Raw genomic sequence first — 21,950 nt, 5'->3', positions numbered from 1 at the left:
TGTTCTGTTCCATTGGTCTATATATCCATTTTGGTACCAGTACCATGCTGTTTTGGTTACTGTAGCCTTGCAGGGGTTGCAAACCTAGTATCTGATAAAACAGACTTTAAAGCAACAAAAGTGAAAAAAGACAAAGAAGGACATTACATAATGGTAAATGGATCAATGCAACAAGGAGTGCCAACGATTATATATATATATATATATATATATATATATATATACACCCAATATAGGAGCACCCAGATTGATAAAGCAAATTCTTAGAGACCTACAAAGAGACTTAGACTCCCACACAATAATAGTGGGAGACTTTAACACCCCACTGTCAATATTAGACAGATCAAGAAGACAGAAAATTAACAAGGATATTTAGGACTTGAACTCAGCTCTGGACCAAGCATACCTAGTAGACATTTACAGAACTCTCCACCCCAAATCGACAGAATATGCATTCTTCTCAGTACCACATCACACTTACTCTAAAATCGACCACATAATTGGAAGTAAAACACTCCTCAGCAAATGCAAAAGAATGGAAATAATAACAAACAGTCTCTCAGACCACAGTGCAATCAAATTAGAACTCAGGATTAAGAAACTCACTCAAAACCGCACAATTACATGGAAACTGAACAAGCTGCTCCTGAGTGACTACTGGGTAAATAATGAAATTAAGGCAGAAAGAAATAAGATCTTTGAAAACAATGAGAACAAAGACACAACATACCAGAATCTCTGGGACACAGCTAAAGCAATGTTTAGAGGGAAATTTATAGCACTAAGTGTCCACAGGAGAAAGCAGGAAAGATCTAAAGTTGACACCCTAACATCACAATTAAAAGAACTAGAGAAGCAAGAGCAAACAAATTCAAAAGCTAGCAGAAGACAAGAAACAACTAAAATCAGAGCAGAACTGAAGGAGATAGAGACATGAAAAGTCCTTCAAAAAATCAATGAATCCAGGAGGGGTTTTTTTGAACAGATCAACAAAATAGATAGACCACTACCCAGACTAATAAAGAAGAAAAGAGAGAAGACTCAAATAGACACAATAAAAAATGATAAAGGGGATATCACTACTGATCCCCCAGAAATACAAACTACCATCAGAGAATACTATAAAAACCTCTACACAAATAAACTAGAAAATCTAGAAAAAATTTATAAATTCCTGGACACATCCACTCTCCCAAGACTAAACCAAGAAGAAGTCAAATCCCTGAATAGATCAATAACAAGTTCTGAAATTGAGGCAGTAATTATAGCCTACCAACCAAAAAAAAAGGCCCAGGACCAGACGGATTCACAGCCAAATTCTACCAGAGGTACAAAGAGGAACTGGTATCATTCCTTCTGAAATTATTCCAAACAATAGAAAAAGAGGTACTCCTCCCTAACTCATTTTATGTAGTCATCCTCTTTTTAAAGTACATTCTTATCATGATAAATAAAATAGGAATTTCTTGGTTTATTTTATCTAATTATTTTATCTTGCCCTAATCTCTAATCTCTATTTTTATTTCCTTCTGCTTCTCCCTCTTACTTCAATTGCATTCATGTGTTTGTGGTAGACCCTTGAATATGCATTTTTTGAAAACTATAAAATTTTGTGGTTGTTTTTGAGTTATATGTTGTATATATAGTTTTTACTTTTGTAAATCCAACACTATATTATTAAGACCTATTATTGTTATCGTGTGTATCTTTACCTCATTTTTTTTTCATGCTGCACAGCACACTATTACTTCTTCTTCTTTTTTTTTTTTTTTGAGATGGAGTCTCGCTCTGTTGCCCAGGCTGGAGTGCAGTGGCGTGATCTTGGCTCATTGCAACCTCTGCCTCCCGTGTTCAAGCGATTCTTCTGCCTCAGCCTCCCGAGTACCTGGAACTACAGGCGCGTGTCACCACGCCTGGCTAAGTTTTGTATTTTTAGTAGAGATGGAGTTTCACCATATTGGACAGGCTGGTCTCAAACTCCTAACCTTGTGATCTGCCCGCCTCGGCCTCCCAAAGCACTGTGATTATAGGCATGAGCCACCACACCTGGCCTGTATTCCATTTTTATAAACAATTGTGTGTGTGTGTATTACAGTGATAGATTCTTTGCCTCCTTCCAACTTCCTGCAACAACAATTGTCTCTACTGGATATCATATCCTTTCATGAGTTTAAACTTAAGTTTATTTGCCATGTGGATCAAGAGTAGGACTGCTGGTTCATAGGTTTGGATTTCATTTCACTCCACATTGCTCTCTGGATAGTTGCATCAGTCTGTACTCCCATCAGCAGTACATGTGAAGTCTAGTTTTCTAAATTTAAAAAAAAATTTGTTATTATTTGAACATTATCTTCCATCTCACTAATGAGCACTCCTCAAATTTAACCCTTCTGCTGTTTATACCATATATTTAATCCTTCATTTCAACAGATATGGTTTTCATACTGAAAAAATATTTTATGATTGCTAATTTCTTCTTCAGGTTCAAATATTGTGCCTTATGTCTTTGAGAACATTTACTATACATATTTTTGGATTTATTTTAACTTTTTTTTTTCTTCAGAGACAGTGTCTTTCGGTTACTCAGGCTGGAGCAAGTGCAGTGGTGACAGCCTCCTAGCTAACTGCAGCCTTGACCTCCTGGGCTCAAGAGATTCTCCTGCCTCAGCCTCCTTGGTAACTGGGACTACAAGTGCATGCCGCCACACCTAGGTATTTTTTTAAATTATTATTTATTTTGTAGAGACAGGGGCTCTCTTGGTTGCCCGAGCTGATCTCAAACTCCTAGCTTCAAGCAATGCTCCTGTCTTGGACTCCCAAAGTGCTGGGATTACAGACGTAAACCACCACATATGGTCACATATTTTAAACTATTGTTAATTTTTGTAAATCTGGTTGTCTTTGATATACATGTATTTTATTTTAGAGTCATTGAATTCCTTTGAGGCCTATTTTTTCCTAGTAAGATTTATTATGCTGATTAAGAATACATGGCACTAAAATCAGGCTCAAGATTGACCCACCAGAAGTGTTTAGAATGAAGGACTCCTTAGGAAATAACTGGATTCTGCCACCCTTTGTTTGCCTTCCTCCTCCATAAAAGTTGGTGTATTCACGTGTCCTGGGTGGTGCTGTTTACCAAGACTGGTCTCCCTCAGTTTTAATCACCATCCTAACACTCATTGTATGGAGTAGCTGGGTTAGAGGAGAATGCCTAGGGTTCAGATGGTCTTTCTGCATTTGTCACTATTTCCTCATTTTCCAAGCTAGGTTGAGTCATATTCTGCCTGGCCGACTCCAAAATGGCTTTAAAGGAGTTAGCAGTGGTCTCTTTTCAACTCTAGTTTTGCTAGAATGGGAGCTCCATTTGGTCAAAGTTTTGTCTTTCTGGCTCTGTAGTGTATTCTCAGTATTTAGAAGAGTGCCTTGCACACTGTGGGTACTCTAACTATTGAAAGAGCAGAAAAAAATACAGGAATGCAATGAAAAGGAATGATGACCACTAAAAACTTCCGCCCCAGCATATTCTGGTTTCCTTACATCTCAGTTTTCTGCTCTTTGCTGTCATTTTTTTCTCTACTCGCAGACTTTACTGTAGTTTGTAACTGCAAAGGTTTCTCACATCTTTTAGTATTAGATGCTGATTTCTGTGTCATTTCCAGGGTTGTGGTCACAGAAAGAAGCCCACATCATGTTAGTTCTCCATCTTACCAGATAAAGCTTAGCTTAATGTACTTCTATGCCAATTTCTTTGAATAACTAAACTTTCAATAATTTAATCAATCACTGATTAATCCAAGATTTGTCTCAGATGGGGCACAACTTCCACAACCTAATGTAGCTTCCACAACCTAATTTTTAATCCCCAAAAATGAAATTTACCGATTATTTTGTTAAATCATACAAATATAAAAATTCTGAACAGTGAAATAAAGAAAGTATCTCAAAAGTAAGAGTACTCTTGGACAACAATAGCTAAAAAAGTGTAACAAATATGAAAATATGCAGGCTCTGTTTCTGACCTTTAATCATTCTATACTTCTGGGGAGCAGTTATTTTGAGACTCAGTTTTTACAGAAGTAAAATGGGAACAAAAACAGTTCCTCTGCCTGGCTCATAGAATTTCTGTGAGAATAAAAGACAATTAATCTTTCTAAAGATATATTACATATATTGTAAAGTACCACAATTATAAATACAGGAGAATACTTGCTTCTCTTCGTATCCATTTTTCTGTTTCCAATGCTTGTTTGGTTTTTAAAATTTAATAGTATTTTCCTGCTACTCAATGTTTGACTACTGAAATTCTTATATAAATGTTTTCTGCAAAAAAATTTTATGGACATAGAATAATAATTGTATGTGCTCAGTTGCTTGATTAAAATACTTTATTGTGATTATTTTGTAAAGAAAAGAATTGCACTATAATTTCGATGTTGTGCAAATTATAATAATTAAATATTTAGGCTAAAAAAGATAATGCAAGAAGGCTAAGTTGTATTGTCATATTGTTAAGATTACTTTTTATTTAATGTTCCTAATCAGAAGTGAACCATTATCTATGTAAAAATAATTTAATTCAGAAAATTTTGGTCTCAAATTTACATAATGCCATCATTACCCTTTTTATGTTCTGGAAAATTTATTCTAAATTACCTAGAAAAAAAGGTTGATTCTATAGTGTTATTTTTTATTCTCTATATCTCAGGTAAGAATAAAGGGAAACGAGTAAGTAAAGGAAAAACAAAGATGAAAAAGGAAATTGTACTCAAGTCACATAGACACTGAAGTCTCAGATGTATGTGGAACTTTCTGTTTGGTAGAGGATATAGAAAAGAGAAAGGGATATCGAATTTCTGACAACCTACGTGCTTAGTGCTTTGTCTACCAATGTGATGAGGACATATTTATTTTTTCCTTGTGCTTTCTGCATTGAGACAAGTACATTATAAGCTTATCATACAAATGATTCAAAAAAAATACTCGCCATTTATTTTCTATTAGTTCTTTTTCTCCCGAGGTTACTGCCCTACAAGGAGCTATTTTAACCTCCTCCTGTCTTTGCCAGTGAGAACATCTTGACATGACTCCAATTCCAATTCTGATGTACTGGAAGAATAAAAACACATTTATTTAAAAAATCTAAAGCATATTAATGATGCCATAGAAAGACATCTTGCTTAAGATAAACCCATTAATTTTACCTTTGTAAACATGTTTCAGCATGACTGTGTGATTAAGGCTTCATTCTGTGCAGACTACAACTGTAGTAACGGCAGCAGCCAAGAAAAAATAGCAAAATATTTTTAAAAACAGAAGCAAACAGCAAGGCTTTCACAATCCATTGTTTAAATTCATCTTTTATATCTTGTTTTATTACGTTTTTCTCTCTTACTTTATGTGTATAATGAAATACCATTATCACTGTCATCATCCCCAGATTAAAGCTTCGAGAAAGAAAGAAAGCCTATCCTAGAATTGATTTTTAGGCCATTTTGCTTGAGATGATCGACAATAAGAGGATTTTCATTTGCTTTGTCAGTGTAAGCTGGCTGCTGTGCATCTGCAGTGAAGGCAGCACAGGTCTCTGTTTGCATTCTGCGGTTTGTTAGCAGCAATGACCTGTCACAGAAAGGCTCTACAGCACAATATTTACACAGATCATTAGCAGAGCAGGCCCTGTTTGCCAGATCGCTAATCAGTTTTGTGACTGCCCCAGTTTCATCAAGACTATAAATAAAATAAGCCATCGGAAAAAGCTCCAAAATGGGCATTGTCAGAGCTGGTGACACTTCTGGCAGCTCTAGGCATATAAATCCTCTGATAACAATGCAGTGGTAGTGACAAATAAAAGACTGCATTTAAACTATGAGTCTGAAAATGAGTGTGTGTGTTACTTCAAGAGGACCTTCTTTTCTTTATACTCTGTCGATTTCAGCTTACTCTAGCCCTATGGTGTAAACAAGCTAGCAATAGTCAAGTAGGATTTGCTTTTTTCTCCTTTCACTCACGATTGAAATTTGTTTACTGCAGTTTGCGATGTAGAGTCCATGACATGTGAACCCATGGTGAAAAGCCACAAAAGAAGGGGAATTCGTAAGTGAGAGGGCACGCTGGACTTACTGGCCTGTCTGACCTCCGTTGAAAATATTACTCACAGAATCAGTAGCATTCAAAATGCTGACAGAAAGATTGTAAGAGGTCAGCAAAGGGTGAACCTGTATAAGAGCCTAGGGACCAACCTTTAAGAGTTATGATAAACTATTAGCTGTATGGTGGCCACAATTGAAATGCAACTATTTATTTATTTCTCTTTTTTCATTTTTTGATATGTGCCCAAATCAATAGTGATTGCTTTCTCCTTTGTTGTAGAAAAAAAGTATATAAAAGACTCAGAAGAGTCAAGACCTGGGATGTTTTAATAAGAAGTTGACATTGAATAAAAACATTATTTGCAAAGAGAGTTTATTAAAGTCTTTCAGCTTTGCTCCCTCTGTCTCCTTTGTCACTTGACTCTTACTGAGAACCACAAGGCCATCTAGTAAAGATTACATGGTAATCATTAGTAGACAGATGCAATTTTGTCTGCCATGTAATCTTTACTTTCTGTTCCAGGAAAATATGAGTATTTTTAAAGTTAGTGGAAATTTACAGATTTTCTATATACAGGGCATTGGCAGGCCAGAGAAACGCTAATTAATTCATGTCATAAATGTTTATTGTGCAGCTACTATGTATACTGGATAGAAAGTAGTATCTGACAGACATGTTCCTTGCCCTCTGAAACTCAGTTTAGAAAAGAGAATACAGGTTCAAATATAATGAACATTTGTTTTATTTTATATTACATAATATCTTTTTTTGTTGTTGTTTCTATCTTCATTTTCACCAGGGGAAGGGAATCTGTGTCTATTGGAACTCTTTTCCTATATTCGTTTTAGGATTGCCATACCTCTGGTTTCCCAGGTATAGTTCATCAAAACTAGGGACAGATCTAGTCTTTATGGGAACTGCAACTTATAAAATGTGGAGTTCCTCTTTAGGAAAAAGGATATGCAGCCCTAGAAAATGAAAGGATCCAAATTTTTGAAGAAAATGAACTTAGTATGGTATATTCTTACTTTTTTTCTGAGTGAAAGATATCTTATATATCATACCAATTCCCAATAAGTTTCATCCTTTTGTCTGCGTTATTTTCAGTTTTCAGTAAAATAAATGTGTGTATACCACAACCTCTAAGTACTTCCTTTAGACCTTATGGTTTGAATTTGGTATGAAAGAGGAAGCTTCTAAAAGTGTTTTCTATGTGCATGATGATTTATAGGCAAATATACCGGCACATATAGTTACCTTAAAACTTAGATATTTAAGTATATGTTGGATGAATGAAAAAATTGAAGAACAGAAAAATGTAAAAACAAAAGAAGGTAAGTCAAACATTTTGAGAGAGTTCTTGGATGAAAAGTAGAAATTTAAAATGTAAGGTTGTAAAAAATAGCAATGTCCAGTAAATGCATGCACATAAACATGAAATAACTTAAATGTCATTATGCTAATTTTACTTGCATAAACTTTCAGGACATGAATACAGATAAGGACATAATTACAGTAGTTAGAATGATTAAAAAATAGTATGCCCCATACTATGAATTTCACACACAGTTTGATTACTGGGAGACATTTAGAGCAGCAGACTAAATGTATAGGTGCTATACTGTAAATTGTAAGTTGGATGGGAGGCCATCAACTTTGGTATTGGCTATAGCACTTCAATTAAAGAAAAGTGGCTGGGCCTGGTGGCTCATGCGTATAATCCCAGCACTTTGGGAGGCTGAGGCTGAAGGATTGCTTGAGCCCAGCAATTCAAGACCACCTTAGGCAACAAAGTGAGACCCTGTCTACCAAAAATTCAAAAAATTAGCCAGACATAGTGGCACGTGTCTGTGGTCCCAGCTAAATGGGAGGCTGCCTTGAGAGGATTACTTGAGACCAGAAGGTCAAGGCTGAAATTAGCTGTGATCATGCTACTGCACTATAGCCTGGGTGACAGAGTGAGATCCTATCATAAATAAATAAATAAATAAAATAAAAAATAAAGAAAAGTGTCATTTACATCTTTTTACGTTTTTTAAAATCCTGTTTGAGGTATTTTCTTATCACTATACAAAGTCACTAAACATATGCATTCTATAATAGGGTAATCAAGTAAAAAAAAGAGAAATTTATTTTTTCATAATATTTTTGTTAAAATTCATTGAAGGATATCTTACAGAAAATGTGACATTCTTACATTCTGATTATCAGGGCACAATTTGATAAAATTTTATCAAGTGAACAATAATCTGGTAATCAGAATGCAGATTAAGAAAGAGAACACTAAAACCTCATAACCCTACCTTCCCTGCACTATTTACTCTAAACTCCATTCCATCCATTAAAGATAGTGATGACTGAATTTTTTTTTTTTTTTTTTTTTGGCTATTCTTCTGACTCTAGTTTCTGAGATTTTTTTTTAAATTATACTTTAAGTGTTAGGGTACATGTGCACAATGTGCAGGTTAGTTACATATGTATACATGTACCATGCTGGTGTGCTGCACCCATTAACTTGTCATTTAGCATTAGGTATATCTCCTAATGCTATCCCTCCCCCCTCCCCCCACCCCACAACAGTCCCCAGAGTGTGATGTTCCCCTTCCTGTGTCCATGTGTTCTCATTGTTCAGTTCCCACCTATGAGTGAGAATATGCGGTGTTTGGTTTTTTGTTCTTGCAATAGTTTACTGAGAATGATGATTTCCAATTTCATCCATGTCCCTACAAAGGACATGAACTCATCCTTTTTTATGGCTGCATAGTATTCCATGGTGTCTATGTGCCAAATTTTCTTAATCCAGTCTATCATTGTTGGACATTTGGGTTGGTTCCAAGTCTTTGCTATTGTGAATAGTGCTGCAATAAACATACATGTGCATGTGTCTGTATAGCAGCATGATTTATAATCCTTTGGGTATATACCCAGTAATGGGATGGCTGGGTCAAGTGGTATTTCTAGTTCTAGATCCTTGAGGAATCGCCACACTGACTTCCACAATGGTTGAACTAGTTTACAGGTGATGACCGAATTTTAACATAGACTCAGTTTGCCTGGTTGGACATTAACGTGTGTGTGTGTGTGTAACTCTTATTTTTATATACTATGTTTTTTTGAGATGGAGTTTTGCTCTTGTTGCCCAAGCTGGAGTGCAGTGGCACAATCTTGGCTCACTGCAACCTCCGCCACCTGGGTTCAAGCGATTCTCCTGCCTCAGCTTCCCGAGTAGCTGGAATTACAGGTGCTCACCATCAATTCAGGCTAATTTTTTGTATTTTTAGTAGAAACAGGGTTTCACCATGTTAGCCAGGCTGGTCTCGAACTCCTGACCTCAGGTGATCCACCTGCCTCAGCCTCCCGAAGTGGTGGGATTACAGGTGTGAGTCACCACGCCCAGCCATTTTGACATAATTTTAAACTTAGAAAGAAGTTGCAAGAATAGTAGAAGAAAGTCCTATATACCCTTTTATCCAGATTTTTTTCTAAATTACATTTGAATATATTGGTAGTGTGCTCTCTCTCTCTCTCTCCTTTCTATACTATTTGCAAATTGGAGCCATCTTATTATTTTAATCCTAAGTACTTTATTGTATATGTCCTAAAAACCAGAACATTCTCTTAGGTAATCACATTTTATTATATAATTCCTACATAGTTTAAAAAATCAGGAAAATTTAGACTATATTTTAGTGTTTTTTAAAAATATATACTAAGTATGAATTATTTCTTAATGGGTTAAACATAGACTTGGAACTAAAAAACTCTAACTAGGGCCACTCTTTCTTTATAGAAGTTATTGACATTTTCTCAAGGAGAACAGATGAAATCCTAGGGGGCATGCCTTGCAAATTCATCATTTAATATGAGAACTGCTACTGGTAGAGCAACAGCTATTTGGCCCTATATTTCAGTGAGGCCCTAAATGGCAACAATTTTAGAATTAATGGCAAATGTAGTCCCTGATTCTTTTTGTTTGTTTTTGTTAATAGACTCACTTCAGCGTCCATCAAATATTCCATTAAAGTTTGTCTTCTTGGTTTCTTGATGTAGTTGCTGTTGGTGATATTTCTTAATATATTAAGATGGAACAACTTACCATTCCATTTTGAGTCATATTTTAATTCATTAAGCTAAAATGTTTGAGTAAATACAGGGTTTAGCATAGTATTTTGCACAGAATACTTTAAGAAATACAGATGTTTAAAAAGCAATCTTGCTCTTAAGGACCTTCAATGCTAATAGAAAGACCACTCCTATAAGAAGAATATGTGATGTAATCCCAAGTGCACTAAGGATTTTGATGAGGGAAAAATTATTTCTCCTTGGGTTTATCAGAGAAGATCTTGAAAGAGCTGGCATCTGAGATGTGCTGTGAAGTTATGTAGGTTTCTACAGGTGATAATAGAAAAAGAGTGTATCGAAATGGGTATGTGTGTGATGCCACAAAGAAATTTTAGTAGAATTTAAGGTACTGAATAGTTTGATGAGAAGGTGGTTTAGCATGAGCAAGAAAAATGAAATATTACCGGAACAATTTTGAAAGGCTGTAAATTACTGGCTAAAGAGTTGGATATTTCTCAGAAAATGTAGGGAACCGTGAACATTATTTTTTGAACAGGTGATGCATTTACATGATACAGAATTGGAAAATTCCACATTCTATCCTTTTCTATTGTCTGCCCAGTTCTTACCTCTTAACAACAGCTTCTTGGTGTCTTAAGTATTTTATGTATATATAAGAGATAACAAAATACATTATTGATTTCCTTTATTTGGACAGCATAACACGTATCCTTTTGGCACATTGCTTTATTCGTTAGCAATTTATCTTGAAAAACTTTCCACGTTAATACATATAGAAAATTTTCAGTATTTTTACTATTGCAGAACATCAAAGGGATGTGTCATCATTAAGTCGTACTATATTAAAAACTTTGTTGTTTTCAGAATCTTGTTCTTATATATTTTTCTGCAATGAATATAGTCATATATGTCGTTTTATATGTAAGTAGTTATTTAGGATAATCTGCCTAGAGTATAATTGATTGGACATGCACACATGCATTTTTTATTTGATAAATATGTACTAATTTATACTCCAATCATGTGGATGCATGAATGGTAGTACCTACTTCTCTATATGTTTGCTGAAGTTTGTGTTATTAAATATGCTATTCTAATAAGTGAAAGAATATTGATAGAGTTTTATTTGTAGTTTTATTATGGTTGAACTTGAATACACTTTTGTATACTTAAAAGTCATTTGCATTTACTTAATTTTTTATTTTTATTTTATTTATTTATTTTTTTGAGATGGAGTCTCACTCTGTTGCCCAGGCTGGAGTGCAGTGGCACAATCTTGGCTCACTTCAAGCTCCACCTTCTGGGTTCACGCCATTCTGGGCTCACTGCAAGCTCCACCTCCCGGGTTCACGCCATTCTCCTGCCTCAGCCTCCCGAGTAGCTGGGACTACAGGCACCCGCCACAAAACCCGGTTAATTTTTTTTAGTAGAGACGGGGTTTCACCGCTTTAGCCAGGATGGTCTCGATCTCCTGACCTCGTGATCAAACCGCCTCAGCCTCCCAAAGTGCTGGGATTACAGGTGTGAGCCACCGCGACGGCCTGCATTTACTTTCTATCAATTGTTTATATACTTGCCTATATTTCTTTTGAGTTTGAGTCTTTTGCTCATAAATTTCTAGAAACACTTCATATAGTAAAGAAATTATACTATATGAAGAGTAAATATTATTCTTTACTTGATTACTTGTAGTTTCAATTTGTTTACAATATTTCACTTGATCTTAGCCAAAAGACTGAGAAGTGAATGTTTACAATATTTTTTCATGAAGTTATTGTTACTGTATTCACATATACCCATTTTTTAATCTTTTAGCTTCTAGACTTTTAGTTATAATTACTTATACCTTAACCACTTAAAGGTTATAAAGGAAATGTCCTATGTTTACTTCTAGAGCCTTTGTGGTTTTATTTTCTACATTTAATGCTTTAATCTCTTTAAAAATAATCTTACACGCAGTAGGGGCATATGAATCTACCCATGTTATTTTTCCACAAAGTGGTAACTCATATTTCTTTACTGGTTTGAGCATTAATATACACTTTTTGGGATATTCTATTCTTTTTTATTCACCAATCTAGACTCTATTAAAATTCTCACAGTCCTGCTTTAAAAAAAAAAACTTATTTTTTCTTTTATGCTGTCCTCTATCAGTCACATTTATTTACATCTTTGGCCCTTCTGGTTTTAATTTGAAAACAGCCTGTACTTTCTCATCCCTAGTAGGCAGAAAAGAATAGCTGTTCACCATTTCAAGCCTCTTTGTTTGAAAAATGCATTCAGTGCCAGTGAGATTTACATACATTTTTAGTAATAAAAAAGTAAAAGTTTTTTCCTTAACGGCACAAATCAACCTGAGTTACTGTAAACTACTTTATGAAATACTTTTATAAAGTATTAGTACTTGCTTACAGCTTATACCCTGCAAATAAAGCCCACCTAAACAATGAAGAGATTGTATATTATATATTTGAAGTAGATAGGTAGAAAAGTTTTCAGCTCTGCTTGATTTATGGTTCAGAGATCTCAGCAAGGAAGCACATTCTTTCTGCCTCTCCACCCTGCAGTTCACCTATTAGCTTCATCCTACTTCTGCTTCCCCTTGTAGTATGCAATGGCTGGTAAGAGCAATGAGCAGTACAGGATTTCTCATTCAAATCCAGTGAATACAAGGGAAAGAGTTTTCCCCTTTTATGAATAGAAGTCTTTCCTTCTTTATATTATAATAGAAACTATTTGCACTGTCTGGTTATTCCCAGATAACAATTTACAAACACAGGTACTGACTGATGTATGTCTGATTTTTTGAAACAACCAGGAGCAATGGGAAAATAATTACCCACATTGTCTAAGAGTAACTGAGGCCCAACTCTGGAACTGGGGAGTTCTGTTTATTTTATTCAGATATCCCTTCTATGGATAAAGCTGATCTTTCCCTAAACACAGGGACGATTTACAGATAGAATGGATATCTGAATAAAATATGGATTCTGTTAAAAAAAAGAAAGATAAGGAAAATGTAAGAGGGTTAGGCAGCCAACTGTGTGCACTAGAAATTGTTTTCTTGAGAATTCCATCAGGGGCATTCTCTGCATTCTCTACTTTATATTTGTGGTTAATCCACTATTCTGTCTCTCAAAGAATGTATCTATGTGTGAACTGGTTTTGTTACTCTAATTTCTGTGTGTCCAGAATGGCAGCTAATTACTTGGTAACTTTCTCTAACCTAAGATTTTGAATAGCTCATAAGACATATTTCTTTTAATTGCGGAAATGAGAAGCTAATGACTTGATTATGATGTAAAAGTGAGTTACTGTGTTCACCCGCATTTTATGTTATAGTCTATATTATGACACATATATCTTAAGATATATTTGCTCAATCCAAAGCTATGAATAAAACGGTAAATACTTTTACTACAGGAGAAATACTTAAAGTAATATATTTTTTTTGGATGAAAAGTTACTTCATTAGCTCCAAAGTGAATTTTATATTTTTAGTACACTTAAATTCAGGTTTGCATATAAATTGAGTCTGTGATATCATCTCAGAATTCACTAGGAGTAAGAGTTCTTCTTTAACACAGCCTTTGTGAAGCTTTGTCTCTTACTCTTCCTCATTACTTCCCACTTGTTCTTTTGAAGCTGCTCTATTCTACAGACTTTTGAGGCATTTAGGGGCTGAATGATTGAATTTATTTGCTCTCGTGAGATAAAATTCAAGAGTTTTTTGTTTTTTTTTGTTTTTGGAAAACATAAATCCTTCTTCGTTGAGAAAAAAAGGATGGGAAGCAGATCTGCTATCTAGGCTCTTCCTTTATATAGAGGACAAGGAAATAAAAGTCATATCCCTGTTGTTATGAAATAAATCAAGTTCCCCTATAACCTATATGTTGAGTCTCTAACCCGCAAAGTGACTGCATTTGGAGATATGGCCTTTAAAGAGGTAATTAAGGTTAATTAAGGTCATATGAATGGGACCCTAGTCCAATAGGACTGGTGTCCTTTTAAGAAGAGGAAAAGACACCAGTGAAGTGCTTGCATCAAGAAAAGGCAATGTGAGAACACAGTAAGGAGGCAGCCATGTGCAAGCAAAGGAGAGAGGCCGCAGGAGGAACCAAACCTGTTGACACCTTGATCTTAGACTTCTAGCCTCCAGAACTGTGAGAAAATAAATTCCCACTCTTAAGCCACCTGGTTGATGATACTTTGTTATAATAGCCCTAGCAGACTAATACATTTGTAAACATGCTAAAAGCAGACTTTTTGCAAACAAGCTAGTTACGTTAGCTAGTGGGAGGGTTTTTATCTGCAAGGTGTTTTTAGCAGCATGTACTTGGTTGTTTAGCATCTCCTGTGTTAAAAAAAAAAAAAAAGCAACCCTAGAATCTATGGATATATGGGGCATCGCTTCCTGGAAAATATTATGCATCCTTTGTGCCTATTTGATTATAAAATGGAAGTGTTTATTACTGATACTTTTTATCTTTTGTGTAAGTAATGTGTCAGAACTTATTTATCGTAGTAGGAAGAGATCCAGTGAATACTCAACCTCTCACCTTAGTTCTCCCTGAGCCTCTAGACACTAGACTTTTATATCCTAAAAATGATTAAACATTTCTATTTCATATGAGTCTAATTTGACAGTTGAATTATTTGTACCATCTCACCGATGATAAAATTAGCAGTTATATTGTGTAGAATATACAGATAGGTAGGTTATAATTTTTCTATGTTAAGTTTATATAGAGAAGAACAAATGCCACTTGTAACTGGTGATGAAGCATAGAACAATGACTTTTCTACATATCTAATTCAATAAAAGAGTTTACATGTGGAAATTCAACAAAGTAACTATACTCTGGCAATGCACATCAACTTAACTGGTGGGAATATTTCCTGAGGTGGAAATACTTCAGTTTTATGGTATAATCTACCAAGGATGAGTATAGTATAATCCACCAACTAAGATAAATTGTCTCCAGTTTTATTAATCAAATGAATATTATATTGGAAGTGAGCATTTAATATTTATATAGTTGTCTACTTCAAGAGTTTCTGATTATATACATCAGAAAAATAAAATTTTTGATAATAAAATATATTCAAAGGATCCTCCCAAACATCCCACAGTAACACAGCACATGATCTAACAACCCTAATAGTCACAACAGTCCACATAATGTCTCATTGTATATGCTTCCGGTTTTAATTTGAAAACAGCCTGTACTTTCTCATCCCTAGTAGGCAGAAAAGAATAGCTGTTCACCATTTCAAGCCTCTTTATTTGTTTGAAAAATGCATTCAGTGCCAGTGAGATTTACATACATTTTTAGTAATAAAAAAGTAAAAGTTTTTTCCTTAACGGCACAAATCAACCTCAGTTACTGTAAACTACTTTATGAAATACTTTTATAAAGTATTAGTACTTGCTTTTAAAAGTTATGCTGTTCAAAGAGATTTTGAAAATACCTTAATGAAACACACAAAGTGATTACCTGTAGGTTAAAAGAACCATCCTAGATGGAAGAAACAATGTAATGTATGTATTTATTGTTAAGGATTTCTATCTTGCCCATATCTCTATCTTAACCACCCTAGCTGTATTAGTCTGTTTTCACGCTGCTGATAAAAATATACCCAAGACTAGGCAATTTACAAAAGAAGAAGGTTTAATGGACTTACAGTTCCAGGTGGCTGGGGATGCCTCACAATTGTGTTGGAAGTTTAAAGGCAAATCTCACATGGCAGCAAATAAGAGAAGAGAGCTTGTTCAGGGAAAGTTCCCTTTATAAAACCATCAGGTCTCATGAGACTTATTCACTGTCACCAGAGCAGCATGGGAAAGACCTGCCCCCATGATTCAGTACCTCTCACTGGGTCCCTCAAACAACACATGGCAATTCAAGATGAGATTTGGGTGGGGACACAGCCAAACCTTATCATTTCACCCTGGCCCCTCCCACATCTTATGTCCACACACTTCAAAACCAATCATGCCTTTTAAACAGTCCTCCAAAGTGTTAACTCATTTCAGCATTAACTCAAAAGTTCACAGTCCAAAGTTTTATCAGAGACAAGGCAAGTCCCTTCCACCTATGAGTCAGTAAAATAAGAAGAAAATTAGTTACTTCCTACATACAATGGGGGTACAGGCATTGGGTAAGTACAGCTGTTGCAAATGGAAAAAACAATGGCTAAAACAAAGGCCCCATGAAATTCTGAAATCCAGCAGGGCAGTCAAATATTAAAGGTCCAAAATGATCTCTTTTGACCCCATGTCTCATATTTGGGTCACACTGATCCAAGAGGAGGTTCCCATGGTCTTGAACAGCTCTGCACCTCTGTCTTTGCAGGACACAGCCTCCCTCCCAGCCACTTTCATGGGCTGGCATTGAGTGTCTGCAGCTTTTTCAGGTGCACAGTGCAAGCTGTCGGTACAGCTACCATTCTGGGGTCTGAAGGATGATGGCATTCTTTTCACATCTCCACTAGGCAGTGCCCCAGTGGGGACTCTGTGTGGGGGTGCCCACCCCACATTTCCATTTCACAATATCCTAGCAGGGGTTCTCCATGAGCACCCTGCCCCTGCAGCAAACTTCTGCTTGAACATCCAGGTGCTTCCATACGTTCTCTGAAATCTAGGCAGAGGTTGCCAAATCAATTCGTGACTTCTGTGTACCCTCAGGCTCAACATGTAAAACCTGCCAAGGCTTGGGGCTAGCACCCTTGGAAGCCACGGCCTGAGCTGTACCTTGGCCCCTTTTAGTCATGGCTAGAGCAGCTGGGATGCAGGGCACCAGGTCCCTAGACTGCACATAGAGGGAACCTGAGCCTGCCTCATGAAACCATTTTTTCCTCTAAAACCTCCCAGCCTGTGAGGAGAAGGACTGCCACAAAGGTCTCTGACATGCCCTGTAGACATTTTCCCCATTGTCTTGGTGACTAACTTTCAGCTCCTTGCTACTTATGCAAATTTCTGCAGCCAGCTTGAATTTCTCCTCAGAAAATGGGATTTTCTTTTCTATCACATTGTCAGGCTGCAAATTTTCTAGACTTTTATGATCTGTTTTCCTTTTAAAACTGAATGCTTTTAACACCACACAAGTCACATCTTTTTTTTTTGGGGAGTCTCACTCTGTCACCCAGGCTGGAGTGCAGTGGGGTATGATCTCAGCTCACTGCAACCTCCCCCTCCTGGGTTCAAGCAATTCTCCTGTCTCGGCCTCCCGAGTAGCTGAGACTACAGGCGCACACTACCATGTCCGGCTAAAAAGTCACCTCTTGAATGCTTTGCTGCTTAGACATTTCTTTTGCCAGATACCGTAAATCATCTCTCTCAAGTTCAAAGTTCCACAAATCTCTAGGGCAGGGGCAAAATGCCACAAGTCTCTTTGCTAAAACATAACAAGAGTCACCTTTGTTCCAGTTTCCAACAAGTTCCTCATGTCCATCTGAGACCACCTCAGACTGGATTGCATTGTCCATATCACTATCAGCATTTTGGTCAAGCCATAGAACAAGTCTCTAGGGAGTTCCAGACTTTCCCACATTTTTCTGTTGTTTTCTGAGCCCTCCAGACTGTTCCAACCTCTGCCTGTTATCCAGTTCCAAAGTTGCTTCCACATTTTCAGTTATCTTTAGAACAGAGTCCCACCCCACTCCTGGTACCAATTTACTGTATTAGTCTGTTTTTATACTGCTGATAAAGACATACCCAAGACTGGGCAATTTACAAAAGAAAGAGGTTTAATGATCTTACAGTTCCATGTGGCTGGGGAGGCCTCACAATCATTGCAGAAGGTGAGAGGCATGTCTCACATGGCAGCAGACAAGAGAAGAGAGCTTGTGCAGGGAAACTTCCCTTTATAAAATTATCAGATCACATGAAACTTACTATCATGAGAACAGCATGGGAAAGACCTGCTCCCATGATTTAATTACCTCCCACCAGGTCCCTCTGACAACACATGGGAATTCATGGTGAGATTTGGGTGGGGACACATCACTAGATAACAGCAAAGCTGTACAATTCTTAAACATTGTCATGGAAAACTAATTCCACAACTCTACTTTGAACTATATGTGATGTTGTTTACATTCATCATACCCTCTTTATGCTAAACTAAAATATTTAGCTGTAATTTATGATAACTATTTATAGTTCCTCTTTCTTTCCCTCTCTGAACTTCCTGCAATACCCTGCAAAGTTGGTATATTATCTACCTTTTTCCTTTACTTTTACTATTTTTGTGAACAAAAATGTCAGAAGATGAAGTATTTTAAGTCAATTTTTTTTTAAATGGTGAAAAATTTTAAACACTGTGAGGGGCCAATAAAAGAGATTATTTTCATTGTGAGGGACATTTTAGCATGAGTCAAATCACATGACAGTCAATTTTGTTCTTTGATTAATGTACAGGTACAATGAATTTAAGTTATGGGAGAACTTCTCTTTTTCCTTTGACTTATTCTCTCAATTTTTGCACTCTCATTTTTGTTTTTTTGTTTTTTTGTTTTTTTTTTTTTGTAAAGAGTTTCTAGTAAGGACTATGTGTTAATCAGTTTTAAGAACACAGATTTTATCAAAGAAAATTATCTCTGTAAAATATTTGCACTAATGGAAAAATATGTGAACCACCCAGTCTTATTTTATTGGACCCCAAGTTAGTTTGTGTTTGTGTGTATGTGTGGGTATTTATCTGATATCAACCATTATCTTTTAACATCAGCATGAAACAACATGCTGGTCTGAAACATAAAAATATATATCACTCTTACCAAAGCCAGTCTGTATTTTAATTGCTTTTTCCTGAAAGTGGAATCATGTAAAACTTAAAAACAGATTGAAATGAAAGGGAAAAATTTGATTCTGTAATTAACTTACCATGTGACCTTCACCACACTGATGGTCCTTACAGATCTAAATTTCTATATCTGTAAAATAAAGAAGGTTGATTTTACATGATTTCAAAAAATATATCATTTTTTTGACAGTCATAGAAGTTTTATATAATTCTCTATTCTAGTCTACTGCAAAGGAATAGCAGCAGGTGAAAACTATAATGTTTGACCCTGAAGATTATTATGTGATATGTGTAAGGGTCTTAATGTGTACAATTCCATTTTTAGGGGCTCAAGAGATAAAATTTCTTTTCCAAAATGGATAAATACAAAATCATTTTTGCAATAAAAATGTATTGTGAGGGAATCTTTTGAATCAATGTGATTACTTATTGTGGAAGATACAGGCCATATCGCATAGCGTCTTGCCTCAAGGATCTTATCACTTAGTGAGTGAAATAAAACAATTACACAGATAACTGCCAGTAGGCAGCACTAAATGTCTTAAGTGATGGATAGACAGAGAGGTAAGAAGGGTCCAATCAAATGCTGAAATGTTAATAAAACCCAGATCACAGGCGGTGATGATCAAATGAATTGAACAGGCTTAGGAGAAATCCGTGAAAGAAAGAAATCTGTATCCCTGGGATCTTTCCATTTTTGAGAATATATTACATTTGAATCTCTTAGGGATGTGTGATTCCCCTTCCCTTTAAAATAGTTACAGTATAACTTTCATTAAAATCTTGGATTTTGTCAGTCATAGCAGACAATAGCATTTTATGTCCTGTGAAGAATTGTATGCATAATTTTGGAAACAAGACAAAGGAAAGAGGCTCTCTAAGCTGTTAGAAACAAAGGATTTTTAAAATCTTTCTTCTCTCATACCTCCATTAAGGTTGTCTTTTCTCCTTTAAAGCTATAAGAAATATACTGAATACTAATGTGACAGAACCAGATGCAATCCCCAAATATCATATTTACTTAATATAAATTCATAGTCCTTACCTTTAAGGAGATTTGACAATTCACTTTGTCTTTTAGCCTTGGGGTAGTCAGGAAAGTTAGGCACAATGTTTTAATGCTCATTCCTTCTCTTTTGCTCTTAGCTGTCATTAATCCCTAATGCCTGGAACTGCATAAATTTCTTCTACAAAGGAAGCCCACAGGTCGTTTTTATTTGGAGCACTTTTTTTAATATGCGCCACAATATATTCCGGTATGTATTACCTCGTCTGAATGCAAAACTGTTTTATATGCAGATTTAAGGTAGTGAGCAGTCAAGTTTAAAAAATGGTTCTGGTATCCTGTAGCTTCTCAATAATAATATACTCTTACATTCCAACAGAGAAGGATGGATTATGGGTTTTTCAATTTGCATCAGGCATATTAATTGCAGAGTAGGGCTTCCACATAAAATATCAATGTACTGGAACAAACTGTTAATGTACCAGAATATGAACACTTACATTCATTTCTGGAGCTTTAAAAGGAATCATCCCCCTCCCCCGCTTTTTAATATCTATACCTCTGGAGATGGTACAGTTTTTTAGTCAGTTAATGAGAACTATGTAACCACCATTTCTCCAAAAATCCCTAATTAGATTAAGTGCAATAGGGCTATTTTAGTAATTTCTGCTGGGGAAGAATACAACAAGCCATTAGGGAAAGAGAATAATTTAGAAGGTTTGAAAGAAACTTATTTTAGAGTTACTTTTAAGAAACATGACATGGAAGATCAACTTTATGTCCTAGTTGGAGGCAGGGAGGCATACTCAACTTTTATTTGCATTATATTTCTCAACTATGAAGAGAATACCTAAACTAGTAAAAGTTTAATTGAAAGTTTTATAAGTAATTTTCAGCTGACGTTTAGCACTGTAGGTTTGATTGTAGAGAACTGGTACTTTATTTCATGGGAGTACTTGAATTATATATTCTCTTGTAAGCATAAAATTGTGAATGTCCATATTTTAAAAAAGCATTATAATAATAAAAACTCTTGTGTTTTAATTTGTCTAATACATTTGGTAACTAATATAAATTATAGATACTCTGGTTAGACTAGAATATAGATGAAAATATTTTTAAATATGTTCTCTTTTTTCTTTAATGTGAATATTTCTTATTTTTCAAAAAATAAAGCAAGGGGAAGAAATAAAGTTGAGATTTAAACACGGCTACATTTTTTTCCCTGAGGCTTGTACTTAATATGCAAATGCTAAGTATTTGGTAAATATTCATTAAGTAAATATCAGACCTTTCACATTTATATTTCACTTTTCATTTTTGATACATGACAAAATTTGTGATTTTATTATTTTCTAACAAAAATAGAATGGGGGCCCACTTTTCAAATCCATTCTGCAAAAGACAATGTTTGAGTTTTTATACCACAGCTGTCCTAAGTAACGAATTATCTCACCAGAGAAGAGAAGAAATGCTAACCACATAATCCAACAGGAGACTTGATTCATTTTGTGTCTGGAACAGTCAGTGCAATGTTACAAACTGAAATGAGTTTCCTTTTCAATCTTCAGGTGAAAAAAGTAGTGAGAATGTCCCGCTTTAAAAAAAAGAAAATCAATGTGACCTTTTTTTTTTTTCATCTTCCTTGAGAAATAATGTGTGTTTGTGTGGGGGGGTGTGTTTTATTTTGCAGTGTTAGTTTTGACCTCATTATGCTCATTATGCTGTTGTAAGGCTAAGTATGTCATGGGTCAAAATGAAGGCAAAATAGACCTTTCTCAGCATTAAAGCACAACCTAATTTATGGTAAAAGTAATTTCCATACTGTTTTAAAGAAATAGCCCTGGACAACATGAATCTTCCTTTGCTGTAGCATGCTGGCTGAAAAACGGGTTAGATATGCATTCCATGAAAAGAACAGGGAAAATCACTAGAACTGTAAACTCTGCATTTGCTGGGTG

General features: G+C 35.6%; 1 long non-coding RNA gene across 1 annotated transcript in view; it reads left to right on the top strand.

Moving 5' to 3' along the window:
• The first annotated feature begins 20,145 nt into the window (after positions 1-20,145).
• Positions 20,146-21,950, top strand: part of LOC124902159 (uncharacterized) — a 68,637-nt gene continuing 66,832 nt past the window's right edge. Inside the window, exon 1 of the long non-coding RNA XR_007061497.1 lies at positions 20,146-20,239. This is a non-coding gene — a long non-coding RNA (uncharacterized LOC124902159). The remainder of the gene's footprint in view (positions 20,240-21,950) is intronic.

The sequence above is a fragment of the Homo sapiens genome, chromosome 9 (assembly GCF_000001405.40).
Source record: "Homo sapiens chromosome 9, GRCh38.p14 Primary Assembly".
Taxonomy (NCBI): domain Eukaryota; kingdom Metazoa; phylum Chordata; class Mammalia; order Primates; family Hominidae; genus Homo; species Homo sapiens.
The sequence above is the reverse complement of the archived record's forward strand: the minus strand, read 5'-3'. Positions and strand labels throughout refer to the sequence as shown.